Source organism: Homo sapiens, chromosome 8 (genome assembly GCF_000001405.40).
Source record: "Homo sapiens chromosome 8, GRCh38.p14 Primary Assembly".
In the NCBI taxonomy this organism is placed as follows: Eukaryota; Metazoa; Chordata; class Mammalia; order Primates; family Hominidae; genus Homo; species Homo sapiens.
The window spans coordinates 128,067,385-128,081,239 of NC_000008.11; the positions used below are offsets into that span (position 1 = coordinate 128,067,385).

General features: G+C 43.0%; 1 long non-coding RNA gene across 51 annotated transcripts in view, besides 1 other annotated feature; it reads left to right on the plus strand.

Annotated features, from left to right (window-relative positions):
* PVT1 (Pvt1 oncogene) overlaps positions 1–13,855 on the plus strand; it is a 306,733-nt gene that overhangs the window by 272,861 nt on the left and 20,017 nt on the right. For 22 of the 51 annotated variants that reach the window (NR_186144.1, NR_186151.1, NR_186131.1 and 19 more), the window contains one exon: positions 2,776–2,888. The exons of 8 other annotated variants lie outside the window; for them this stretch is intronic. This is a non-coding gene — a long non-coding RNA (Pvt1 oncogene). Of the gene's footprint in view, positions 1–2,775; positions 2,978–6,018; positions 6,108–6,685; positions 6,908–13,855 lie in introns of all 51 variants that reach the window. 21 more of the 51 variants (NR_186156.1, NR_186146.1, NR_186145.1 and 18 more) reach the window with 4 other exon arrangements.
* Positions 2,987–3,146: a silencer, noted in NCBI's record as "silent region_19536". NCBI's record gives its function as "represses an Ori minimal core promoter by ATAC-STARR-seq in GM12878 lymphoblastoid cells {active_cell/tissue: GM12878}" and the evidence as "EXISTENCE:reporter gene assay evidence [ECO:0000049][PMID:35858748]".

A 13,855-nucleotide genomic window follows, 5' to 3' on the forward strand; every position in this document is an offset into this window, starting at 1 on the left:
CCTGTCTCCAAGGCCAGTCCTTCCTTCCACGGCTGGCACAGTCCCCGTGTGATGTCCCCTTCCTGAAATGGTTAGACTTCTAATCAAAAGGTCTATATTGGAGCAGCTCAGTACAAGCCATTGCAGTGGGAAACTCAGAAAAGGAACACACAGGATGTCTTGGCAGGATGAGACTAGGCAGCAATTCGACTTTAGGGGAAAGGGGAGGCTTCCTGGGGGAAAGGATGTTTAGGCTCTTCCCAGAAGGAGGTGTGGGGATTAACCCAACAGAGGAGCCAGAGGAATGCTCTGTGGAGATCCCAACCCAGGCCTGGGCTGGAGAACTGGAGTTAGGGGTGAGCTGGAGCAACCTGTGACCAGCGACCAGGGAGGGGGCTGGAGGAGTGATGTGGGGCCTCCCTGCTTGCAGGAAGGAGTTTGACCTTATCCTTAGCCCTGAGGGATGCCCCAGAGGGGTTTTAAGGATGGAAGAGACTGATCATGCTGTCTTCATGTCCTTATTTCATTTTCTGCCTTTCCTCTTCTGACTCTGCTCTTATTTTTCTATTCTTGGACTAACATACTTTGTGTTTTTTTTTTTTTGGTTATCTTATTTGAAAATCAATATAACCACATCTATAAAAACAATTTTAAAGAATGCCCAAATCCCAGAGCCATCATCTCACCCAATTACAACTCTTGCCTTCATGTCTGCTTGGCCTCTTGCCCCCTGTTCCTGCTGTGCATGCATACATTTTACAGGGATGTGTCCTCAGTGGACGTGAGATTTTTTTTTTCTGTTTTGCAGTTTTTTACACAAACATTTTCATTTGTTGTTCCTGTTTTTCCTTCTTTCCCAGGAGGCTTTAGGCTCCCATTCTCCTCTCCCTGGCTTTCTCTCTGTCCCATCCACCGCTCTACCCTTCAGGCCTGCCTATATGAAAGAGGTCTCTTTCTATGCAGAAAACTCACTTTAACAAGATGTGGGTGCTCTTACACAGACCTCATATGAGGAAAATAGCACATCAGTGAACTTGGGGTCCCTGGGAGTCACAGTGATGTTCACCAGAAAATCAGACAACGGTAATGTACCTCCCCCATCAGGTTGCCAAAAATTAGAATAGGTTTTGTGTTTTTTGTTGTTGTTTGTTTGAGACGGAGTCTTGCTCTGTCACCAGGCTGGAGTGCAGTGGTGCGATCTCGGCTCACTGCAATCTCCGACTTCCTGGTTCAAGTGATTCTCCTGCCTCAGCCCCTGAGAAGCTGGGATTACAGGTACATGCCACCACACCCAGCTAATTTTTGTATTTTTAGTAGAAACGGTTTCACCATGTTAGCCAGGATGGTCTTGATCTCCTGACCTCGTGATCCACCTGTCTCGGCCTCTCAAAGTGTTGGGATTACAGGCGTGAGCCACTGCACCCGGCCAGTTTTGGGGTTTATTTTAAGAATGTGTCAGAGCCTGGCATATGCCTCCATTGCCGGTGGCAGCATAATTTGTTCTTTTGGAGTAACAATTTGTCAAGAGGCATCAAAGCCTTACTTTGACCTTGTATCCCTATTTGGGAAGTTTATTTAGAAGACAGTTTCCAGAAAATGAGAAAGCTGTGTGACAAAAGGGGGTTCTTGCAGCCTATTGCACTTCAGGGCAAATTAGAAACAAAGTGGACTCCAGGGTCCTTCTGTTTCACGGAATCTTTCCCAGACATCTGAAGGGTCATCATGGAGAAGAGGCGGCACCTTAAGGACAGCAGTGACAATCTCTGATGTGGCAATTACATAAGGTATTGCGTCCTTCCTGAGATTACACAAAACCTGTATAGAGAGAGGCTAGCTGTTCATTGGAAAAATGAAGGTTTTGCCTACTTGGAATAATAAGAGCATGACAGCTTCTTTTTTTCTCTTCTTTCATCTCATCTCTTCTCTTTTTTTATAGCTTGTCTTATTCAGTTAAACTTCAGTCATTACCATAGAATAAAGTAAAAGGCAATATATATTGAATGTGTAAGGCCCATGTTCCACTAGGAATGACGTCACGAAAGGACAGCCTGACCCTCGCTGCTGTATCAGGCATGGGCACAGCGCACACTGCTGCACTCAGGGGTCAGAGCAGGAGGTGCTCCTGGGTTTCATGATCTTGCTTTTTGTCCCTCATGGTCATGTGTCATTTCATCTGCACCATAATCGTGCTGGGTGGGTAACGTAAATCCCCATTTTATAGAGGAGAGAGCTGAGTCCTTAGGGCTCCTGGCAGTTGCCATCCAGGAAGCCCCTGCTACGTTCCAAGCTTAGAATCTCCCCACACTATCTCCTTGGATGCTCACATAACAGCTCTGCAGAGCCACTCTTCAAACCTGCTCTTCATGATGGGGAAACTGAGGCACTGTGATTTGCCAAAGAGCCGTAGCCAGTAAGGATCAAGGCAGCATTCACGCCTGGGTTCTCTGACTGTAAATCTGGCTGTGTTTTTTTCTTTCGAATTTTATTATGAATGCCTTCTTTGTTCATTGTCATTATTATCATCATCATTGATCTCTACCAGGCCCCCTACCCCCAGCCACTTGCCTCCTCTGTTGCAAGAGGAGATGAGGAGACAAATGTGGAATTTTTATTCCCATTCCCTTCCCTCCTCCATAGGCAGCCACTCCAGTGTGCTTGCTGCAGGCCCTGCATGAGGGCCTGCATGAGGATCCTCCCTGTCTTGTTCTGATTGGGTATCTGTTTTTAATTTAGACAAATGGGATTCTGCTATAGATCTCAATTTGGTTCTTTTGCTTACTCAACACTCTTTTTCAGAGCCAGTCTTGGTGCTCTGTGTTCACCTGGTTCATCTGAGGAGCTGCATCTACCCTGCCCATGCCATAGATCCTGCCCTGTTTGCTTCTCCTGTTGCTGCTAGTGGACATGAGGTAACCACAGCCTAGTTCTGTGATAAGCTCTTCACACCTGTACCCATATGGACTGTGGGAGAGTTTCTCTGATATGGACTGTGATGCGGGTGAGTCATAGTGCACACTCACACTTAATTTCACAAGTACTGCCAGATTGTGTTCCAGAATGACTGTACCAGTTTACACTTCCACAGGCAGTGCTCAAGATTTCTGTTTCCCTCTGTCCTCGCCAGCACCTGGTATTGGCAGATGCATCAAAAAGGATGCATTTGACAGCTCAACCACCTCAGAGCACTTGATTAGCATCCCTGTGATGGCCCTTTCTGCTGCAGACATCACTTTGTCATAACAGCATTTTGAGCAGGAAGAAGCATCAGGCAGGAAAAAAGGGGCCCTTTTACTGTGACTCCCTATCTTCTGTTAGGGAAGAAAATTTTCCCCAGAAATCCCCAGTAGACTTCCCCTATGTCTCAGTGGCCAAACTGGGCCAGGTAAGCTCCCAGCCAGTCCCTGACAGAGATAACAAGATTGTCATGGCTGTTTCAAGCCAGGGCCAATTCTTCCCCCTGCCATGGACTTTTTTTGAGCACATTGCTATCTCCCTTGTCCCTGAATAGAACTGGGAATATTTTAATAAAGAAGAAGAGACCAGTGGCTGATCAGTAACTTGGCAGCCAACAGAGTCTTCTACATCAGAGTTCTGCATTTGCCAACTTTTTGCATGCATGCTGCCTCTTCTATATAAGGGATCTTCCCCCACATCTGTTTGATTTGCAGAGAATGTCAGAAGCGGCGAGTCACTCATACATGTCCATTGCTTTGGGGATTAGATCCATCCAGCTCATTTTGGAAACGGCAATTCTTTTTGCCAGGCAGACATGAGACCCATTTCCACACCAGCTGCTCCAGCTGAGGTTCCCATGCAGGTTCTGCGTGACAGAAATCAATAGAAAGATTCGAAGGGCAGAGCACCAAAGTTCCTGCCCTGCACCATGATGTCAAAGCAGAATGCCTGCTGAGGACAGGTGCAGATGAATACCTGTCAGAGAGTATCACTTCTGCAAGCAGCAACTTCCCCTTCTTGTCAGCCACGTGGATGCCATAGTAACCTTGTGTTTCTGGCTAGCTCAAGAAATTAATTTATAGGATGTGTGCAGCAGGTCATGCCTGTAATCCCAGAACTTTTGGAGGCTGAGGCGGGAGGATCACTTGAGGCCAGGAGATTAATACCACCCTAGGCAACTAAGGAGACCCCCATCTCTATAAAAATTTTTAAAAAAAAAAAGCAGTTTTGGTGGCACATGCCTGTGGTCCCAGCTAGTTAGGAGGCTGAGGTGGGAGGATCGCTTGAGCCCAGGAGGTCAAGGCTACAGTGAGCTCTGATCATGCCATTGCTCTCCAGCCTGAGAGACAGATTTGAGACTCTGTCTCTAAAATAAATAAATAAATAAATAAATAAATAAATAAAAATAAAAGAAATGGAAACCGTATAGTTATAATTTGTTGAGCACTTATCTTTGCCAGGTGGCCTGGGAAGCATTTTATTTCTACGATCTCATAGATATCTCTTGGCAGCCCTCTGAGAGCATTGATATATTATTGCTACATCACAGGCTCCTACAGAATCCTGATTCTGACAATTATCAGCCATGTGGCCTTAGGAAAGTCACTTCATTTTTTGTACCTTAGCTTTCTCATTTCTACATGAAGAATGATAATAGTATATTGCACCTGCTCACAGAGTTAATAAACATAAAGTGCCTAGAATGGCACTTGATACTTATTAGCTACTATTGTTGCCATTTTTTAAAATGAAGAAATTGAGAGGTTCAGAGGGGTCAATTTGCCAAAAGTTAGTTATTAAGTAGCAGGGCCATGATTTGAATCCAAAAGCTTCTGGCTCCGAAACTGGGCTTTTATCCAAGGGAACATCACCATTGCGCCCCTCATCAGTAGAATCAATTTTCAGGTGAAGACTCGGTGACAAAGACCACAAAGACATAGTGTAATTCTTCTAACACATGACTGGATCATTTCTGGAAGGTGGCTGGGGACATGGATACTGGGCCACAGAACAAGCATGCATGGGATGGAAAAGACACAGCGCTCAATTCCTAATTTGACCACTCAATCTTGCAGAGCCTCCACCTCCTTATTTTTAAAATCAGGTTTTCATTATAGTTCCTCCCAGCAAGGATTTTAAAAGTGCCTTATAAGCTGACCATCTCCAGGTTCCTTATTCCAAAATTAGGATTTTATATGTCACTTTATATTATGTGTCTCATCTCAGTTTCCACTTACACTGACAAAAAGTCTAAGAGTCATTTCCCCCCAACTCCATTTTAGTCACCGCGAGGCTCAGGAAAACAGAATTTCAGAATCTTCTGGAAGAGATGTTTCCTTTCTTAACCAAGCTAAATGGACTGGAGGCAGGCACCGCTGGTGTTTTTAGAAGGCTGGTTAACCACAGTGCCTAGCGGTTTGGGGAAAAATAAATCAGGTAGCTTTCTGTGGCACGAGACATTCCCTTACCACATTTGTCCACTTGAGCACTTTTATTTTATTTTATTTTATTTTTATTTTTATTATTTTTATTTTTTTGACAGAGTCTCACTGTTGCCCAGGTTGGAGTACAGTGGTGCAATCTCAACTCACTGCAACCTCCACCTCCTGGGTTCCAGCAATTCTCCTGCCTCAGCCTCCTAAGTAGCTGGGATTACAGTTGTGCGCCACCATGCCTAGCTAATTTTTGTATTTTTAGTAGAGATGGGGTTTCACCATGTTGGCCAGGCTGGTCTCGAACTCCTGACCTCGAGTGATCTGCCCTTCTCGGCCTCCCAAAGTGCTGGATTACAGGCGTGAACCACCGCACCCGGCCCACCTGAGCATTTTTAGATGTAGACCTGGTGATGGGTCTGAGGGGCAGCATGTTCTGTCTGAATGGGGATCTCAAGCTCAGTGATGTGGCTTTAAGCAAAAAGGATGGCTTCAAGGTCTAGATTTCCTTGGGAGCACGTTTTAACCTAAACCTGCATAACTAGTAACTCGAAGATCTTTTAATTTTATTGTTTTTTAATTTAACTGACCCCGTTCTCCCTCCTTTTCTCCCTCCATCCCTTCATTCCTCCCTCCCTTCCTTTTGACACAGGTCACCCGATATAGAATCACACACCTGGGAGATGGCACCAGCCAGTGAGGCTCAAATTTGAACCACACACAAATCTCCAGGGGTACTTGGTAAATGCAGACTTTTGACCAATTTTTCGGCGTGGGGCTGAGCATCTACTCTAGCAATGAGCTCCCAGGCAGTACTGATGCCGCTGGTCCATGCATCAACCCACTTCAACTTGTGAGGAATGGTCTGCTACCCTCCCTAGCCCTCCTCATGCGCCAACCCATTTCAACTTGTGAGGAAGGGTCTGGTCCCCTCCCTAGCCCTCCTCACACAGGCAGTTGCAGATACTGTCTAGAATACCAGATTGATTGTGCACACATTTGACCTTCCTGACCATCCTGGGAGCTGTGAGAATAACAACAATTTTTTTTTCTTTTTTTTTTTTTTTAAGATGAGAAAACTGCTAGTCAGAGATGCTAAAAATAACTAGGCACAGCTGATAAGTAGCAAAGATGAAAGTCCAAGTGCAGAGGCAGTTCCAAGTCTCTGTAGTCTTCTCCAAGAGCTGATGGATGAATGTGGCCCTCCTGGGATGGAAGGTGTCCTTGTGCTAGTCATGAACCCAACAGAAAGCAAGTGCCATTTTCTCTTCTCTTCCCCTCTTTATCTCTGAGATCTTAACTTGGCTGCTTCTTTTCAGAAGACAGTGATGCACTGTATTCAAGTGATAGCCCCAGCAGTAACATTGATGCAGAGAAAATGGAATACTTTTTACAAGAGACCAGAAGACACATGAAGCTAGAAAAAGGAGCCCAGAAAACTGCCACATTTTGCCCATATAGAAAAGCATATCCCGACCGGGCACAGTGGCTCACGCCTGTAATCCCAGGACTTTGGAAGCCCAAGATGGGTGGATCACAAGGTCAGGAGTTCGAGACCAGCCTGGCCAATATGGTGATACCCTATCTCTACTAAAAATGAAAAAATAAAAATAAAAAAAAAAATTAGTGGGGTGTGGTGGTGCATGCCTGTAATCCCAGCTACTCAGGAGGCTGAGACAGGAGAATTGCTTGAAGCCGGGAGGCGGAGGTTGCAGTGAGCCGAGATCATGCCACAGCACTCCAGCCTGAGTGACAGAGTGAGACTGTCTAAAAAAAAAAAAAAAAAGGGGGGGGCTCCTTCCCACTCATTTCTCCCATAACATGTAATGCTTTTTATAGTGATTTGGTCACTGCTGAGCTATCTTCATTTAATGTGGTTTTGACAGAATAGTTGGTCAGGAAAATTTATTTTCAATTAAAATAACTTGTTGAACTGTCTCGGTTTTGAAAGGATTCCGTTAGGATGGCTAATTATATAGCGGTTGCTACAAGGAGATATTTGCACTCAATTTCAGCTCTTAGGTAATTCAAATCAAATGCTTGAGATTTTCCTCCCTGGAGCTGTGTGCAACCATCTTCCTCTCACACTGCAGGCTTCCCATGAGTTATTTTTAGAAACCCAAATTTAAGCAGCAATTTTGGCAGAGCCATTTCTAGTCTAGTGGAGTAAACCATATGTACTGATAAATGCAGCCAAAGAGTTAGTTTCTTTAAAAAGTAACAAAACCATCTCTCTCCGTTCATGGGGGTTATATGTTTACAAACTGCAAACTATCCGTTGTACTATTATATTCATTTGTGAACTCTAGCTGAAGTGAGAGATCATGGATATTACTTTAAAATTACAAAGATGTGTCCTTTTGCAAACTGTTGTCATAATACTCTTTTTTTTTCAAGATGGCAGGCCTTGGCAGAATTGACTGGAGACTCTGTTTTGGCCTTTGGATTTCCCGTGAAACATGGAGATCCCTTTCTTTATTTTCCTACTCTGCTCTGATTTCTTCATTCACCAGAGCACTTGTAATATATCTCATCATGCTTATAAGCAGGAAACCTCCTCCTTCTGTGTTAGAACATATTCTTGTGGTCAGGGGCTGGATTTTTTTACCTTCTTCATGCCTGGCACATAATAGATGCTCAAATAGTGCATGAATAGATCGATGAATCATTAAAATTATATTTCTATTTTCTCCTTTTTTTAAAAAAAAATCTTTTATTACGTAAATATTAAATGATTGCATTCATTTCGGAAAAATTAAAAATTTTCCACAAAAGGCCAAAGTCCTTTTAGCTCACCCATCTTCAATCCTTGTCTCCTCATTAGTTCTGTGTAGGTCATGTTTGTTATCTTTTAGAGCACATTCCTGCAGACCATTCTAATTCATTTAAGTGTATACGCATGCACATATACACACTGAGTACTATTGTGTACACCTCTGGTAGAGTATTTTGCAGTTTACCCCTTTTCACTCAGCAATATATTGAGGAGTGCTATCCATGGTAGCCACTCTATTCTTTTTAACTGCTACATTGTTCTATTGTTTCATGTGGATGTACCCACCTTTTATTTGGACCAAATACACAAATTATTTATCTGCTTTCCCATTCATTATACTTACAGATCGCTTCTCTTGTATAAGTTGACAAACCCAGCCAGGTTCACTGCTATCTTTTGGTAGCTACAACACATTTTATCAAAATCAGCCACTTGCCTTAGAAATTATATCAAACCAGTAGACAGATTATGTAAAATTCGAAGTGTTGTCAGAGGGACCAGAGTTTCCTTTGTCCTCACAGTCTAGAGAAGTACCCTGTGCTCTGGGAACCCCACAGGGTTGGATAGTGAGTGATGCTGACCACCACTCACTCTGTGTTGTGACACAGTGATCTGGTGTCTGCTCTGCCCACAGCCAGCTGGGTTTCCTTGAGCAGATCATTTCTTCTCCCGGGACGTTACTTCTCTTATCTGCACAATGGACCCAGTGAGCAGCCTGAAGCTCTTTAGACTGAATAACTGGGCCTACACACTGCCACCAGGATTGACATAAAGAATGTCCTGTTAGCTCACCCTTCACTATATGTTGGGGTGGGGAAGGGCAATTCCTGATAAAGTTCCAAGCTCCAGCCCAGAGCTCTGAGCTGAGACAATGTCTCAAAGAGCCCATGAGTGGCAAGGAATGTATTGTCTTCAGATTTTCCTCCTCTTTCCTACTATTTTACCATCCAATTAAAATGAATATATATTTTTTTCTTTTGCTTAGGTTTGTCTTTGTTCTAAGCAAGGCAGTATGATGATGGGAAAAAAGGTTGTGGACCCCTGAATTCTACTTCCAAAGTTGTTTAATTCTAGCTGTGTGTTCTTAGGCGAGTCGCTTACCTTCTCTGGGCTTCCGTCTATTGACATCACAATTCCCAGTGAGCCAGGTATCCACTAAAATGACACTGAAAAGTTGAAAACCACACTCGCTTATGAGTGATTCATTTGGCATTTGTGAGCCTTGTCACCTGCAAATAGGTCATCTCATGAACTGATGAGGCATCCTCAGAGACCACGAGAGCCCATGAAATCTTCTTGTTTCACAGGAGAATTTGCAGCTGTCCTGGCCCCTGGTGACACATGCTAAGCCCTTCAGGGGCTTCTGAGAGAGGCCCAGAGAAGGTGCTGAGCTGCCATGATTCACAGGTGAAGTTTTCTCACCTAGGCCCTGAGGCTTTGTGGTGGATCCACGGCAAAGGGTATTCCCCTGCTTTGAGGCTCAGGACCACAGAGGTCACAGGATCTGATTCAGATGCCAGCGGGTTTCCCTAGGGGGCCCAATGAGGCTTTCCATGTAGGGCAAGAGTTATGGCTCCCTGCTGGGTGTTTCACATGGGTCAGCAGACTCAATGTGGTTCTGAAGGTGAAAGGTCAGTGTAAATGGGTGTGAAGCCACGTGGGAGGCATAGCCCATCTAAGTGTCTGGGGTTTTGGTTCCCCTAGTCCCAGAACTTTGTTTTTTGCCCCTACTGTGAGTTTCTGTTCCTGAACACCCCTTAGTTAAGTGTTCCCTGGTTGAGCAGGTTTCTACCAAAGGAGACCAAAGCTCAGTGCTTTTCCGCTGCTGAGCTCGCTGGGGTAGGTGACTAACCCTCTCCTAGCATCTGCTTCCTAACCTGCTTGGGCTTCAGGGGGTGAAATGAGATTCTGCAATAGGTGCTCAATCCACATTTCTTTTATTTCCCTTTTCCTGTTTTATATGGAAAAAAAACTCATAATTTTATAAGCACTGAATCTATAACTGAGCTTCCAAAAACCCACCCTGGGCATTTTTTCACATTAACCAAGATAAACCAAAAAGGCAGTACCACGAATAGAGAAAATGTCATTAGGAAGGTGTACATGATAAATTCGTTTTTTAAAACAGGAATGGTGATCGTTTCCATTTATCAAGCCTCTCTGCAAATTTTTCAGCAGCTGCCTTCCTCATTTTAATAAAATGCTTGCAGATCTGGTTTGCATTTTTGTAGATAAATGTAGAACAAGTCACATTGACACTCCCTACATCTGATCATCCTCCCAGCCATCAATACCATTTTCATTCACAGCCTGGAATCTTTAAGAAATGAGTCAACCTGACCTATGATTCACAGATACTTGATCTGAAATGCTTGGTGGTGTGGGGTTGGTGGATGGGGTAGAAACAAAAATAAATTTCCTGACACCAAAAGTCAGTTCAAGTGAACTAGAATGGGCAGAGAGGGGTCGTGGGGATGGTTCCTGCCCTTCAGGAGCTGCACTTCCAAGTCTGACTTAGGGTGATCACACATCCAGGCTTGCTGGTGGAGCTTCAGTTTATGCCTGTGGTCCCAGCCTCTTAAACAGTTAGCGTGCCTGTCCACGATTAGAAATGTCACACGTTGGAAGATGTAGGGTTCTGAGGAGAGTAGAGTGGCAGTTCTTAAAGGCCAGAGATAACATTTAATCATGTGTATCTCCAGTGCCTAGCCTCTTGTAAGAAATTAATACATAAATGCTTGCTGGGTAGGCGAGTGAGTGAGTAAGTGGTTTCTTAAACTCCCCTCCTTGTTCTCTAAATTATTTCTCATTTTTCTTTGCATGTTTGAAGCACCTGGTGACTCTACTGGGTTCTCAATAAGTATATTTTGAATAAGCCAGAGGTTCAGAGATCAGTTTCTTACTTGCTTGTAAGCAACCCCATGCTCTCTAGCTCTGCGACTTTGAGTGGGTTAGCCCAGATTACTTAGAACTTAGTACTAAGAACAGTGGCTTCCACGTAGTCAGTTCCTAAGAAATGGTAATGGAGGAGGTGGAGGTGGTGTTATTGTTATTAGCCATCTAGCTTTACTGCCAGTTTTTGTCTTTTCTCCCCCTAACTGTAGGAATCGTAGACTATATATATATAAGACCTCATATATATTTTTAGAAGATAAGTCAAATATAAGAAATTGAAAAAATGAATAAAATAGTTATCCTAATCTTGTGCCCTTGGTAACATACTATCAATTATCATTATCAATGTGCTATACCCCATTTATGTCCGTTTATACCAGTGTTGACAGGGTCTCACTTTGTTGCCTAGGCTGCCATGCAGTGGCGCAAACATGGCTCACTGCAGCCTCGACGTCCTGGGCTCAAGCAATTCTCCCACCTCAGCACCCCCCGAGTAGCTGGGACTATAGGCACCAGCCACCACACTTGGCTAGTTAGGGTTTTTTTGTTTTGTTTTGTTTTTGGGTTTTTTCCTTTTCTTTTCTTTTTTTTTTTTTTTTTACATAGTTGTTATCTTAAGGTGATTTCCAATTTTTTTTTCCATTTACATTTTTCCACAAGCATTGTCCACTTTATTCTGTAACCTTTTCAACTACCATTTTGAAATTTGCTTTTATCCATGTGGTTGTTTGTGATGAACTACAGGTTGCTGACTTTCTTCCCCTTCTGTAAATAAAGTTTTCTTCCTAGTATGTCCTGTATCTCAAGAGGATCTCATCAGTGGAATCATTAGATCAAAGGATATGACTGTTGCTCAGCTCTCTGTGTGTATGTAAATTAATAGGCTGTTTATTTGAGCAGTTGTAGGCTTACAAAAATATTGAGTCAAAAGTATAGAATTCCCATATATTCTCCTCTTCTCCCGTCATATCCCCTATTATTCGCATCTTGAATTAATATGGTACATTTTTTACAATTTATGAACTAATATTGATACATTAAGAGTTACTGGAGTCCATAGTTTACATTGGGCTTCACTCTTTGTGTTGTATAGTTCTGTGGGTTTTGACAAATGCATAGTGTTGTGTACCTACCATTATAATATCATACAAAATAGTTTCACTGCCCTAAAATTCCCCTGTGCTTCCCCTATCTCTCCTCATTACTCCCTCTCTCACACTAACCCCTGGCAACCCACTAATCTCCATAGTTTTGTTTTTTTCAGAATCACACAGTTGGAATCACATAGGATATAGCCTTTTCTTTTTTTCTTTCTTTTTTTGAGATGGAGTCTCACTCTGTCGCCCAGGCTGGAGTGTAGTGGTGTGATCTCGGCTCACTGCCAGCTCCGCCTCCTGGGTTCAAGCAATTCTTCTGCCTCAGCCTCCCGAGTAGTTGGGACTATAGGCACCCGCCACCATGCCTGGCTAATTTTTTGTATTTTTAGTAGAGACAGGGTTTCACCATGGTAGCCAGGATGGTTTCAATCTCGTGACCTCGTAATCCGCCCGCCTCGGCCTCCCAAGGATGTAGCCTTTTCAGACTGATTCTTTCACTTAGTAATATGCATTTAAGGTCCCTCCATGTCTTTTCATAGCTTAACACCTCATTCGTTTTTAGTGCTGAATAATATTTCTTTGTCTGGATGTACCACAGTTTATTTACCCTGTCACCTACTGAAAGGCATCTTGGTTGCTTCCAGGTTTTTGGCAATTATGCATAAAGCTGCTATAAACATTTGTGTGTAGGTTTTTGTGTGGATGTAAGTTTTCAGCTTATTTGGGTAAATATCAAGGTGTTCTGTTGCTAGATCTTATGGTAAGAATATGTTTTGCTTTATAGAAAACTGCCAAATTGTCTTCCAAAGTGGCTATATCATTTTGCATTCCCACCAACAATGAGAGTCCCTGTTGCTCCAAATCCTCTACCAGAATTTGGTATTCATGTTTTGGATTTCAGCATTCTAATAGGTGTGTAGTGGTATCTAATTGTTGTTTTAATTTGCACTTCCCTGATGACATATGTTTATTTGCCATGTGTATACCTTCTTCGATGAGATGCCTGCTCAGTTCTTTTGCTCATGTTTTAACTGGGTTGCTCATTTCCCTATTCTTGAGATTTAAGAGTTCTTTGTATACTTTGTATAAAATTCCTTTAAGTGACATGTCTTGTGCAAATATTTTCTCCCAGTCAATGCCTTGTCTTTTCATTCTCTTTGTAGTGTCTTTGCAGATCAGAAGTTTTTAATTTTAATGGAGTCCAGGTCATCAATTAGTTTTTTCATAGATTGTGGCTTTGGTGTTGTATCTAAAAAGTTATTGCCATACTCGAGGTCATCTAGGATTCTCTCCTTTGTTATCTTCTGAGAGTTTTATCGTTTTAAATTTACTTTTAGGTCTATGATGCATTTTGAGGTAATTTTTGTGAAGGGTTTAAGATCTATATTTAGATTCTTTTTTTGCAAATGAATGTCTGGTTGTTTCAGCACCATTTGTTGAAAAAAATTATCTTTCCTCGATTGCAATGTCTTTGCTCCTTTGTCAAAGGTCAGTTGACTATATATATGTGGGTCTGTTTCCAGGCTGTCTGTTCTGTTCCATTGATCTGCTTGTTTATTATTTTGCCAATACCACGCCATCTTGATGACCATAGCTTTATAGGAAGTGTTGGAGTTGAGTAGTGTCAGTCCTCCAGCTTGTGTGTTCTTTTCCTGCAGTATTGTGTCAGCTATTCTGGGTCTTCTGCCTCGCTATAAAAGAATCAGCTTGTAGATATCCAC